This window comes from Homo sapiens, chromosome X (assembly GCF_000001405.40).
Source record: "Homo sapiens chromosome X, GRCh38.p14 Primary Assembly".
Lineage (NCBI taxonomy): Eukaryota > Metazoa > Chordata > Mammalia > Primates > Hominidae > Homo > Homo sapiens.
Window position 1 is genome coordinate 153,545,238 of NC_000023.11, and position 13,225 is coordinate 153,558,462.

The 13,225-nt window shown below is 58.9% G+C and overlaps 1 protein-coding gene across 13 annotated transcripts in view; it reads left to right on the top strand.

The window, feature by feature from the left end:
• ATP2B3 (ATPase plasma membrane Ca2+ transporting 3) overlaps positions 1–13,225 on the top strand; it is a 65,288-nt gene that overhangs the window by 27,596 nt on the left and 24,467 nt on the right. For 7 of the 13 annotated variants that reach the window (NM_021949.4, XM_005274689.4, NM_001001344.3 and 4 more), the window contains 10 exons: positions 851–892; positions 2,598–2,762; positions 3,403–3,617; positions 4,260–4,502; positions 4,808–5,049; positions 7,798–8,032; positions 10,812–10,991; positions 11,094–11,181; positions 11,680–11,786; positions 12,875–13,066. In NM_021949.4, coding sequence (NP_068768.2) covers positions 851–892; positions 2,598–2,762; positions 3,403–3,617; positions 4,260–4,502; positions 4,808–5,049; positions 7,798–8,032; positions 10,812–10,991; positions 11,094–11,181; positions 11,680–11,786; positions 12,875–13,066 — 1,709 coding nt within the window. Of the gene's footprint in view, positions 1–850; positions 893–2,561; positions 2,763–3,402; positions 3,618–4,259; positions 4,503–4,807; positions 5,050–7,797; positions 8,033–10,811; positions 10,992–11,093; positions 11,182–11,679; positions 11,787–12,874; positions 13,067–13,225 lie in introns of all 13 variants that reach the window. The other 6 variants (XM_024452386.2, XM_005274691.4, NM_001410708.1 and 3 more) reach the window with 2 other exon arrangements.

Here is a 13,225-nt window from a genome sequence, read left to right on the forward strand (position 1 = left end):
CACTTGGGGCCCAGCCTGGCCTTGCAGGGCTGCTGTGTGCCGGGGCTCAGGCTGGCACTCCTGTGCTGCAGCCCTGGGTTGACCAATGACCTGAAAGCGCCCCGCAGAGTCCTAGCGTCTCATTCCTTTGTCCCTTTAAAACACACACTGGGGCCAGGCACAGTGGCTCATGCCTGTAATCCCAACACTTTGAGAGGTCAAGGCAGGTGAATCACTTGAGGTCAGGAGTTGGAGACCAGCCTGGCCAACATGGCGAAACCCCGTCTCTATTAAAAGTACAAAAATTAACTGGGCGTGGTGGTGTACACCTGTAGTCCCAGCTACTTGGGAGGCTGAGGCAGGAGGATCGCTTAAACCTGGGAGGTGGAGGTTGCAGTGCTCAAACACACACACACTGAGCTAACTGCTGGACGTGACTGCAGGGAAAACCAATCCCTAGGCAAGGGCAGCTGGGTGCTGTCTGCCTGGCTTCCAGGGGTTAGGAGCCATCTAAGTGAACCCCTTGAGCTGGTTTGCAGGGAGCAGACGTCCCGACTTGGGGAGGTTCCAGCTTCCGGGAACCTCCCACTGCCAGCCATGTGTGACCCAGGGCCCTTCCAAGGCTGGCTTTAGGGGTTCACTGTAGGGCTGAGCTTAAGGCCGAAGGGGAGCCCTGGGCAGAGGTCTGGCTCAGGAATGCCAGTGTTCATGGTGACCGTGTGCTGGGAGGTGGTGACGGGGTGAGCCTGGAGAGGACGGGGCATGAAGAAGGCCACCAGCAATCAGGCCCCTCCTCCCCACCCCCTCTGCCACGCGGCCCCCAGGCTGGTGTCCTCAAGCCTTCGTGTCTGTCATCCCTCTTCCATTGTAGGCAAGCAGCAGGATGGGGCCATGGAGAGTAGCCAGACCAAAGGTAACGGGCGCCGCTGCTTGGGCACAACAAGCTTGGAGCCCTGGGGGTGGGGCTGGTGGAGGGCACAGTGTTGGGGGAGGTTCACCTGCCTCGGTGGCAGGAGCAACACTTGGAGACCAGGTGAGTGGGCTGGCTGCACAGTCCCGTCCCAGTGCAGAGGGAGGAGAGAGCACACCCCTGGGGCTGCTCAGGGCATCCTGGCCACAGACACTGCTGGCAGCTCAGCCCAGCCACCTAGAGGAGACCTTAGCCCAGCATGGGCATAAGGATCACCTGTGAGTGGGCGCCCCGAGTCCACTCTGGCCAGATGAGAAAACTGAGGCCCAGAAGGGCTGACTCACCTGAAGCTCTGGGTCCCAGTCAGTGTGTTTCCCAGGCCAGCTTCCTTTCAGCCAAGCCTGAGGACCTGGGAGACAGAGTGGTCGGCTGAGGGCCAGAGGCCCGGCTCTCCTCTCAGCCCCGGACAGCTGGCAGGTGCCGACACCCTGGGGCCAGCATGAGCCTGGCTGTGAGACGCAGGAAGCAGGAGAAGGGGTGGGAGGAGCGGGGAGGAGGCCAGCCGTGGCCCACGGAGGACAGGAGATGTCGGCCAATGCAGCAGCCAGCTCTAGGTGCTGGAGTCCATGGGGAACAAGGCAGGTCCTGACCCTCAGGAAGGTCACAGGCAGAGATGACCCAGGCAACGCCCTGTGCGGAGCTGGGTTTGGGAGGGCAGTGGGGGGACAGCCCGATGGCTGCAGCCCTGGGTTGAGGAGGTGGCAGCAGGTGGGGCACAAAGCTGGAGGGGCCCAGCTGGGTGGGGCAATTGTGTCCTGACGCCACTGGGAAGAGGAGCCGTGGCGAATGGCCTTGGGCTGGCAAGTGAGGAGGAGCAGGAGGAGGCAGAGGTGATGGCGGTAGTGCCAAGAGCCCCAGTGGATCGGGGACCAGAGTAGTGAGGGAGAAAGACGAGTCTGCTCTCCCCAGGTCGCTGCGTCGGTCCCGGGGCAGAAGAGGGAGGTGGGGTGGCCAGGATTACTCTGGGCCGTGGAGTGGGTGCGGCCAGAGCTTGGCAGGGAGGGAGATGAGGAAGTGACAGAAGCAGAGGAGTGGGGAGAGGAGGGAGCCGGAGTGGGGGACACACCACCACCATGTCGAGGGCAGCAAGGATGAGGAGCACAGGACCCACCAGGGAAGAAGGGAGAGGAGCCGTCTGCTCCAGGGGAGAGGCAGGGAGGGTGCTGGAGGGACAGATGGAGCCCGAACAGGCGCAGGGCTGGCTGGTGGGAGGAGAGTGCATGGGGCTTCTGGGCCTCCCTAAGGGAGGTAGGAGGTGGCTCGGACACCAGTAAGCAGATGAGTCAGCTCAGGGTTCTGGAAGATTCCTCGGGCCACAGGCCTCTGCTCTCAGGTATTATTTGGGGCATTCCAGGACCAGTCACCCTGTCTGTGTGCCCAAAAGCCTTGTGCTGTGTCTGTCCTCCCTTCTCCCGAGAGAACCATCTCTGTCCCACCTAGAACAGTGCTGGAGCCACCCCACCCACCCCAAGAGGGCCTGGGCTTAGGAGGCGAGAGAAGGGAAGCTGATAGACTTGGAAATAGGAGAGCTCCACTGAATCCCGTCTCCTCTCTATGGTGTGGCATGTCTTTCCCCCACAAAAGCCCCTTATAACGCCTTCTCCCCAGCCAGGCACTGACCTTGGCCATGGGGTTCCTCTGTGTGCAGCTAAGAAGCAGGATGGTGCAGTGGCCATGGAGATGCAGCCCCTGAAGAGCGCGGAGGGTGGGGAGATGGAGGAGCGGGAGAAGAAGAAAGCCAACGCACCCAAAAAGGAGAAGTCTGTCCTTCAGGGGAAGCTCACAAAGCTAGCCGTGCAGATCGGGAAAGCAGGTAGGGACAGCAGGAGGTGGTGGGCCCAGGCCATTGACTGGGCGTGGAGGATGCTGGGCTCCTGGAGATGAGCCCAGGCTGTGTAGAGCAGGTGGGAAGGGATGTGGCAGGTGATGTGTGGGCCAGGCAGGCAAGGGCACAGGCCAGGCCGGCAGTGGCCATCAGGGCCTGGCGCAGCCCTTCCCTAGTGAGCAGAAGTCCCAAACCCTCGACGAAAGCCCGGGTCACACACTGAGCCACTGCCCATGAGGTGCCCCTACCCAAGGCTCCAGGCTCTGCCCCTGGCACCCTCAAAAGGCAGCTGGGGGCATGCAGGGCTGGTACCCCAACTTCTGGGGTGCAGTGGGGGATTGACTCTTGCTAGTCCTCCCCAGCGGTGCTTCTCCTGCCATCAGACCACAAAGTCCACTCCCCAACCCCAGCAGCACTCCAGAAGAGGCCACACAGAGCCCCCTTGCAAACAGGCCCCAGCTCACCTGCTGAGCCAAACCTGGGCTGTTTATCCTGAAACGCAAGGCAAATCTACAAGGCCTTCACAAATGCCTCCGAGACCGTGTCCATACCTCTTCTTCCCTCTTCCTGTCCCCCTCCTTCCCTCACCCGTGGCAACCCCTTTCGTCTCCTCCCCGCTCTGTGGCAGGGCTGGTGATGTCTGCCATCACCGTCATCATCCTGGTCCTCTACTTTGTGATTGAGACGTTTGTCGTGGAAGGCCGGACATGGCTGGCAGAGTGCACGCCGGTCTATGTACAATACTTCGTGAAGTTCTTCATCATTGGTGTCACTGTGCTGGTCGTGGCTGTCCCAGAGGGCCTGCCTCTTGCTGTCACCATCTCCTTAGCTTACTCTGTCAAGGTAATCATAAAACTTACAGTTGATACTGTTTACAGACTCGGAAACTGGGGTAAGAAGTCATTGGGCGCCTTGGTGGCAGTATAAACTGGGGACGTTTGGGATAGCTCAAGGGAGGAGAGGAGGTGCCGAGCAGGGACCCAGGGGGCAGCTTTGCTGATCTGTCAGCTCAGGTCCCTCGGCATGAGATGGGCCAGAAAGCAGGCAGGCGGTGAGATACCCAGGGGTTCAGCATCTGCACAATGTGGGCAGTAGGACGGAGGGGCTGGGAGGCAGCGGGGAAGCGGAGAATCAGCAGAGGGCCCGGGACACTGGGAGGCAGTGGGAGGAGGTGGGGGGAGCCAGGTGTGGGGTGGTGGGGTGGTGGGGTGGTGGGGTGGGAGAGCTGCAGGGCTGGTGGGTAACTGAGAGGGGGCTCGGGCAGGGGAGGTCCCGGGTGCGCATCCCGCCCCCACCATTGGATGAGGTTGCTGATGCCTTACAGCCTCGCTATTGGCTCAGGGCTGACCAGGTGCCCAGTGGGCTTAGTGCCACACGTGGAGCTAGCTGAGCAGAACAGAGTCACGCGATGTTTGTGTTGACATCTCTCACTCCTCCACCCCAACAAGCACCTGGGCCAAATGCCCACACCCTCGCCCTTTGCAGAAAATGATGAAAGACAACAACCTGGTGCGCCACCTGGATGCCTGCGAGACCATGGGCAACGCCACAGCCATCTGCTCCGACAAGACGGGCACGCTCACCACCAACCGTATGACCGTGGTCCAGTCCTACCTAGGAGACACCCACTACAAAGAGATTCCGGCCCCCAGCGCCCTGACCCCTAAGATCCTCGACCTCCTGGTCCATGCCATCTCCATCAACAGTGCCTATACCACCAAAATACTAGTGAGCTGGGGCAGGAGCGGGCGGGCAGGGCCGGGGGCAGGAGCAGGGGAGGGTCCTGGCCAGGGTGCCAGGTGAGCTGTTGCAAGGTGCTCATTAGGCCCCCCCTTGAGAACTTTTGCCCATCCCTGGCCTCACAGGTGGCTCTGGCTGGGAAACTGCCTGTAGCTAAGGCCGACCTTCCTCTGCTCCCTGCCGCCCACACCCTAACAATGTGGTGACCACGAGGGGGCAGAGCTGGGGCTCCAGGGGCAGCATGGAGGGTGGTCTCAGGCCCCCAGTGCCTGCTAGCCCTCGTCATCTTGCAGCCTCCTGAGAAGGAAGGCGCCCTCCCACGCCAGGTGGGCAATAAGACGGAGTGCGCCCTGCTGGGCTTCGTCTTGGACCTGAAGCGGGACTTCCAGCCCGTGCGCGAGCAGATCCCGGAAGACAAGCTTTACAAAGTGTACACCTTCAACTCGGTCCGCAAGTCCATGAGCACAGTCATCCGCATGCCCGACGGTGGCTTCCGCCTCTTCAGCAAGGGGGCCTCAGAGATCCTCTTGAAAAAGTGAGTGAGCAGCAGGGAGGTGCCGGGGTACGCACGGAGTTTCTGATTCTATTGTCGTGGTAAAAGAGGCCGAACGTAAAATTCACCATTTCAACCACTTTACAGTGTACAGTTGAATGGCATTAAGCACGTTCACAATATCATGCAACCGTCACCACTACCCAGTTCCAAAACACCTCCATCAACCCGGAAAGAAACCCCAGGCCCATGAGCAGCCCTCCCCACGCCCCTCCCCAGCCTCATGTGCTTCCTGTCTGTATGGATTTGCCTGTCTGGACATTTCCTATCAAGGGACTCATACACTGTGTGGCCTTTTGTGTCTGGCTTCTTTCCTTAGTGTAAAGTTTTTCCGTTTCCCTCAGATATTAGACCTTCCTTTCTTTTTTTGTTTTGTTTTGTTTTTTCCCTCAAGCCATCCTCCTACGTCAGTGTCCCCCGTAGCTGGGATTACATGTGCATGCCACCACGCCCAGCGAATTTTCAAATTTTTTGTAGAGCTGGGGTCTCCTCATGTTGCCCAGGGTGGTCTTGAAGTCTTGGGCTCAAGCGATCCACCCACCCGGCCTCCCTAAGTGCTAGGATTACAGGAATGAGCCACTGCCACCAGCCCGAACTTCCATTCTTTCTAAGGCTGAGTAATATCCATTGTATGCTAAAGAGCATTGTGTTGGTCCATCCATCCCTTCATCTGTCTACCAGCACGTCTACCAGCACGTGAGTCGTTTCCACCTTTTGGCTGTCACGAGTCACGCTGCTGTGAATATTCACGTACAAGTTTTTGTTTGAACCCATGTTTTCAATTCTTTTGCGTGGACATCTAGGAGAGGAATGGCTGGGTCGTGGTGTCCACGAAACTGTTTTCCACAGGGGCAGCACCGTTTCACATTCCCACCAGCGACATAGGAGGGTTCCACCTTCTCCCCATCTTCAACAGCACTTATTTTCTGGTGTGACAATGCTGATGGGGGCCATCCTTGTGGGTGTGAGGCAATATCTCCTGGTGGTTTTGATCTGTGTTTCCTTGATGACTAACAACGCTGAGCCTCTTTTGCTGTGCTGACTGGCCATTTGCCTGTCTTCCTTGGGGAAATGTCTGTCCTAGCCCTTTGCTCATTGCTGAGTTGGGTTGTTTGTCTTTTTATTGTTGGGCTGTAACATTTTTTCTGTATTCTGGATCCTAGATCCTTATCAGCTATGCGATTTCTACACATTCTGTCCCATTCTGTGGCCTGTCTTCACTCTCTTGATAGTGTCCTTAGGTGCACAAATGTTTTAAATCGTGATGACGTCCAGTTGATCTATTTTCTTGTTGTTGCTTAGAGATGATGAAAATTTTCTTAGAGATGATGAAAATTTTCTGGAATTGGAGACTGGTGATGGTCGTGCAGCTCTGTGACTATACTAAAAACCATCGAATTATCTACTTTAAATGGGTGGACTGTGTGGTGCGTGAATTATATCCCAATAAAGCTATTAGAACAAAGTAAGGGAGAGTGCACAGCGTCACCTCCAAATGCCCTGGCTTCCCCACTCCCACTCAGCCTTCCCGGACTCCACACCCTTGGCCTTGGCGTCTCTGTCCACAAGTCACCTCGCTCCTCATGACTGCCGTCCCAGGGCCCTCAGGGCAAGGTCCTCTGCAGGACGCCCAGGGCTCCCCAAAGGCCCAGGCCCACGCTCCTTCCTGTGTTCTGCGGACTGGACCACCAAGTGCACCCTGCCTGGCCGCCCCACCCACAGCGCTCTCCCAGAACTCTGCCAGGTGCAGCGCTCACTGCCAGGGCCAGGACCACCTCCTCCCTGGAGCCATCCCTGCTGGTGTGGGGGCCTCAGCCCTCTTTCTGTGCTTCTTTTTTGGTGGGCACTGAGGGACACTGAGGCACTGCGGACAAAAGGCCCAGCCCAGCTTCACTCCCCCTTACTCCCATGCCTCAGTTTCCCTGGTGGCATGGAGATCACAGAATACTTATCTCTGGGGAGGGGTGTGAGGGTTCCGTGGGTGAATCCACATCCATAGGAGGCTCTCCGTCCACACAGCTTCTGTTATGATCATTTCCTTCGTCACCAGCCTCCCATGCAGTGGCAGCACCTGGCACTCACAGCCCCACTGGCTTCTTCCACCATGCCCGCCTCTGTGACCCTCGGCTCCTTTGCTCCCTCCTCTCCCCACCTGAATCCTCCCAAGTCCTGTCCCTTTTGAGAAGCTCCTGGAGTCATGAGCGCTCTACTGAGGCTGTGGCTGCCTGGACGTGGTTATAGCGATTGTCCACAGACTTCAGTTTTTGCCCAGGTTCCACCCGCTTGCCCTATGAAGTCTGTGGTGGAGCTGCCATGAGCCACATGCTCCTGCCTCCCTCCCGGTCTCTCAGCCTGCAGCAGTGCATGAGCGTCCTGGTGCCCTCAAGCAACAGAAATGGATTCTCCCCCAGTTCTGGAGGCCGGAAGTCCAAAAGCAGGGCGTGGGCAGGGCCGAAGCGCCTCCAAAGCATCTCAGAGAGGATGCATCCTGCATCCTCCAGCTTCTGGTGGTGGCTGCCAGTCCTCGCGTTCCTCAGCTTGCAGCTGACCCTCTCTAATCTCTGCCTGTTGTCACACGCCCTTCTCCCTGTGTGTCTGTGTTCTCACACGGGGCACTCCTCTCTGATAAGGACCCCAGTCCTTGACTAAGCCCCCAATCCAGTGTGACCAGCGCTGTTCCTTGTTGTTCTCTCCCCACCTCCACCTCATCTCTGCCCACCCCCTGCCTAGGTGCACCAACATCTTGAACAGCAATGGCGAACTCCGGGGCTTTCGGCCTCGGGACCGGGACGACATGGTGAGGAAGATCATCGAGCCGATGGCTTGCGATGGCCTCCGCACCATCTGCATCGCCTACCGGGACTTCTCTGCAGGCCAGGAGCCCGACTGGGACAACGAGAATGAGGTCGTGGGTGACCTCACCTGCATAGCTGTCGTGGGCATTGAGGACCCTGTGCGGCCCGAGGTAGCCACCACCTTCTCTGTGAGCTGCCCTGGTAACTGTGCCCTCTGCCCGAGCTTGTCCGGACTGGTAGGGGCGGCCTTCCTTCACACACAGCTGCTGCGGTCCCTCCGTAGTACACTTGAGCCCCGTCCTGGGTGCTCTCACCCTGACACCCGCACAAAGGCTCTGTCCTGCCTGCTGGAAAGCCCTTCCCGCTTGACCTATGGGCCCAGCTCAGGCTCCACCTTCTACCAGGTGAGAAGGTGGCAGTGGCGGAGAGACCGTCGACATTTGGGATCTGATCCACCCAGGACCGATGGACTGGAGGTGGTGCTGAAGCCTGAGGGGACACAGGTTTGGGGCACAGGGTGGGCGTTTATTGGTTGAGGGTTTGGCTGGGGCTACTCTACGGTCAGGACGTCCTGTGGCGAGCTCACAGCAAAGGTCCTGGCGGGAAAGGGAGCCCAGAAGCATATCCCCATATGGACGATGCCACCAGGGGAGTCCAGATGAGGGGACCTCGAGGGCCGCGTGGCAGATGCCATGGCCTTGACACTGGGAAGTCACTTTGTTGTTGAAAGATCCCAGACCCTGGAGAGTGTGGAGGATGGCCGGCCCCGGAGGGAGAATGCAAGGCATGGGGTGCCCCTCTGTCTCCCCAGGGCCTCTGCATGGCACCCACCTGTGTCACAAGCAGGGCCACTGTGACCCTGACAACTTGTCTTTGTAGGAGCCACCCTGGGGGTGCAGGTGCAACCTGGGAGGAGAAGCTTCTGGGCTCTCCTTCGGGAGACAGGCATTCATGTATTGGATCATGTAGCAAAAACACTCAATTCAAAGACAGTGCGTCTAAACGCCAGCCATGGCTCATGTCAACAGAGCAGCCCCGTGCCCCGAGGAGAACATGGTCACTGCGCCCAGAGAGGGAGCACCTCGAGCTTGCCCTGGGAGAAAATGGGTGGTAGCGGAGGACAGGGGACAGAAGTCCAGCGAGGGAAATGGGCCCCGCAAAGGCGGGCAGCGGCATGAGTCCCGGGCCCCACTGAGCCTGGGAGAGCAGAAGGAGAGGGTGCTGGTGAGGCGAAGCAAGGCCACACTTGGGGACAGGAGCCATCGAGTCCCTCTGTTGGACCAGGGAGCAACTGAAGCACAGAGCAGAGGAAGGAATCTTGCCAGAGGGGCCTGGGGAATAGGGACAGCTCCTTTCCAGCTTAAGAGTGGCTGAGAGAGAGTCCAAGGGGTAGACCACAGTGACAGGGCCAGGCTGCGGAGGCTGGGCAGACCCCCACAAAGACTGGCCAGCCTGGTGGTGGCTGAGGAGGACGCACAGAAGGCCCAGCGAAGTCCTGGGTGCCGGCAACAGGCAGTAGGACACAAGGGCCTCACTGAAACCGCCAGGGTGCTTGGAGATGCGGCACGGCTGCAGCCAGAGGAGGGCCCGTGAGGCTGGGCCCTGGGGAGCCATAGGAAGCCTGTGGCTGGGGTGGTATTGATGCTGGAGCTGGGCCGGCCGGGGGCACTGGCAACTTCTCCAGACACCTGGCTGGCTGCTGTGCTGTGGGGCCTTGGGGAGAAGGCAGGGAGCAGGGCTGAGCAGGCGAGGAAGGACAGCCTGGCCTGGCCCTTTGGGGCCATGGGGAAGGAACTGGGCTACACACACTGGGCCTGAGGAGGGAGGAGGCCTGGGTTCGCAGCTGCTGGTTTTCAGGCTCGTCACGGCCACTTGGTGGCAGCAGAGGGGTGGCTTCCAGACTTTTCAGGGACAGGCATTCGCTGGCTCAAAGGAGAATTGTCTTCTTGTGGCTCGTGATCTTGTTATCCAGCACCCCAAGATCCTCAGAGAGTACGAAGTGTCCCCGAGGCTGGCAGTGAGGCCACTTAGTGGTATATGCTGCAGGAACCATTGGATCACCCTGTCACAGCTTAGAGTGGGGCCCCCAGCTGTCTCCCTGGCAAAGATCACAGCCCCCCTGCCCATGGCCTCAGGGGGCGCCAGGATTCAGGGACTCCCAGGTCAATGTCCTCCCCTGGTGTCTCCCGGCTGCCCTACCCCTGGCTCCCACTCCTGCGTGTCTACTCCCCACCGCCGCAGGCTCCCCAGGCCTGGCGGCTCGGCCACACCTAGGCTTCTACACTTACCCGACGGTGCTCACAAGCCCCACTGCCTAGGCTTGACCTCCTCATTCAGGTTCCCAAACTCTGAACCTGGCTCCTCTTCTCCTCTCCCCCTGCCCGTCTACCTCAGTGGCATCAGCTGCCTGACCCTGTCTCTCTGTCCCCGAGCCTGAAGAGCCACATACCTCTTCATTTGGGAACTGTCTTCCCTGTCCCCCCACCACTGGGACAATGCCACCACCTCCCGGCCAGTCTCCTGGCTTCCCGCTCTCAACCCCTTGCAGGCTGTTCGCTTTCCACTCAGCACTGGGGAACCTCTTTCTCTTTCTCCAGAATCTAATGTGATGCAGGTGGTCCCCAACTTTTAACAATTTTGTAACTTGGTGCAAAGGTGATGCACATTCAGCAGAAACTTTACTTCGAGTCCCATGCTTTTCCCTTTCAGTGCAGGATTCAATGAGTTACATGAGATAATCAGCACTGTATTCCACAATAGGCTTTGTGTTCAATGCTTTTGCCCAACTGTAGGCTAACACAAGTGTTCTGAGCACGTGAATCGGATGGCTTTACTCTCACCTCTGCTGGACCTTGGGCCACCTGCAGATCTGATGGAGGAAGGGGTACTGCCTCAACCCAAAATACGTCTTGCCTCGATGGCCCCGCCCACCTCTCTTGTCTCTTCTAGGTCCCTGAAGCTATCCGAAAATGCCAGCGTGCTGGCATCACAGTCCGCATGGTGACTGGGGACAACATCAACACGGCCCGGGCCATCGCAGCCAAATGCGGCATCATCCAGCCCGGGGAGGACTTCCTGTGCCTAGAAGGGAAGGAGTTCAACCGGCGGATCCGCAATGAGAAAGGCGAGGTAGCACCCGGCTGTCTGCCACCCCAGACCCCCCTTCTCCTCACCCCAGCCCCCTGCGTGCCCGCCTTAGCTCTGCAGCGTCCTTGTGCTTCCCCTCCCCAGATAGAACAGGAGCGGCTGGACAAGGTGTGGCCCAAGCTGAGGGTGCTGGCCCGGTCGTCTCCCACCGACAAGCACACACTGGTCAAAGGTAGCCGAGCCCCCACACCCCTTTCCTGGGGTGGCCAGCCCGAGGTTGTCTGCTTCCTGACACCAAAAGCCAGGTTCCCAAACAGGTCCCCAGGGCCTGCCTAGGAAGCTGGGTCCATTTGTCCCATTAGCCCAGAGCAGCAGGGCAGGGGCCCATGAGGGAACCAGGGTTCGGGGAGGGCTAGTGACTCACTCCAAGTCACACAGTGAGTCTCTAGAAGCAGTGGGTCTAGAGCCAGGGACCCAGGATTGTGTCCCCAGGCCCTAACCAGATCCCTATCCTCCCACCCTGGCCCTGTCACTCAGTGAGATTTGCTTACTTATTTGGGGATAGGAGATGATCCAGGTGACGGGGAGCACAGATAATTGGGACAGTCAGGACGGGGTAATCCCAAAGGGTTTTCACAGCCAACCTACCCCCATAGCTCCCTGGGCAGGGCTACACAGGGTTGTGGTGACAGATGGCCCCAGCCCTGCCCTGCCCTGATCTGTCTTCCAGGGATTATCGACAGCACCACTGGTGAGCAGCGGCAGGTGGTGGCTGTGACAGGGGATGGCACCAACGATGGGCCGGCCCTCAAGAAGGCGGACGTGGGCTTCGCCATGGTAAGCCACCTGGTGCCCGCCCAGCTCACCACGGCAGATGGGGCCTGCATCTGTCCCATGGACATTAGCTTTGTACCAGGAAGTGGGAGCCAGTGTCGGGGCAGGTTACAGAGTGCCTGAAGGTTCTTTCTTTCACATCCTGGCCACTTGGGCCTGCGTGGGCTCTGCCAGTCGGGGGACATGTGGTTAAAGGCATCTGCTGTGATGCCCAAGGTGACAGTGGGCCCCAGACATACTGTGGAGAGGAAGGGGAATGGGGGGTGGGGGCTCATCACTGATGGCATTGCCCACCCCCGTCCTCTCTAAATGGACTCTCAGCCCCAGATGAGGTGAGCAGAGTCCCCAGATGTGCTCTTCCTCTGCACTTCCTTCCTGTTGCTCACCCACTGAGCAGGGTAGCCCTGCAGACGCCACCCACATGGCTGGTTGCGGCCCCTCAGTGGCCCCACAGCCACTGAACGCAGCAACCTGGTGAGCCCCTCTCCCTGCCCTACCGAAAAGGAGTGTCACCCAGGGAACCCAGCCCAGTCCTTCCCAGCACCCGTAGCCCAGAAGGGAGCTCCAGCCCAAGCTTCGAGAGGTGGCAGCTCTCACGGGGCCAGGCTTGGGGCAGAGGAGAGGACTGCGCAGCTTGGCACAGCTGCAGCTGCGCCTCCATGGGACAGGGACTCCTCTGCAAGGAGCCGCCCCGCCCAGGGTGTCCCCATGCAGGACTTCCCAGGGCTCCTTAGCCAGCAAGCCTCTCTGGAGTGCTAAGAACAGACCACGCTGCTTGGTGGCCACGTGGTGGCAGCTGGGCTTTATGTGTAAAGCTGTGTTGATGCCATGTCATCAGCACCCTCTGTGTTTATGAGCAAAGCCCCCCCCCCCACCGTGACATGTGACAACTTACTGTTTGTAGTACAAGAATGTGTTGCATTAAAAAAAAGCAACAAAAAACAGTGCTGTTCTTGGCTTTGGGGGGCGGGGTGGGATGTTATTCAGAAGGGGAGAGCAGGGAGCCAGCCCAGGCGGGCCAGGTGATCAAGGGGGGCTGGGGAAGGGGCCCCCACAAACACTCTGTGTGAGTGTGTGTGTCACCCCCCCAGGGCATCGCAGGGACCGACGTGGCCAAGGAGGCCTCCGACATCATCCTGACCGATGACAACTTCACCAGCATCGTCAAGGCAGTCATGTGGGGCCGTAACGTCTATGACAGCATCTCCAAGTTCCTGCAGTTTCAACTGACGGTCAATGTGGTGGCTGTGATCGTGGCCTTCACAGGTGCCTGCATTACTCAGGTGGGTACTGGGGGCTGCCATGCCCCAGCTAGGACACCTGGGCTCAGGCCTGAGGGCCAGATTGTGAGAGTGAGGGTTTTGTTTTCTTTGCTGCAGATTATTTTAATTGAGATCAAATTCATATGCCAAAAATTCACCATTTTCAAGTACATAATTCAG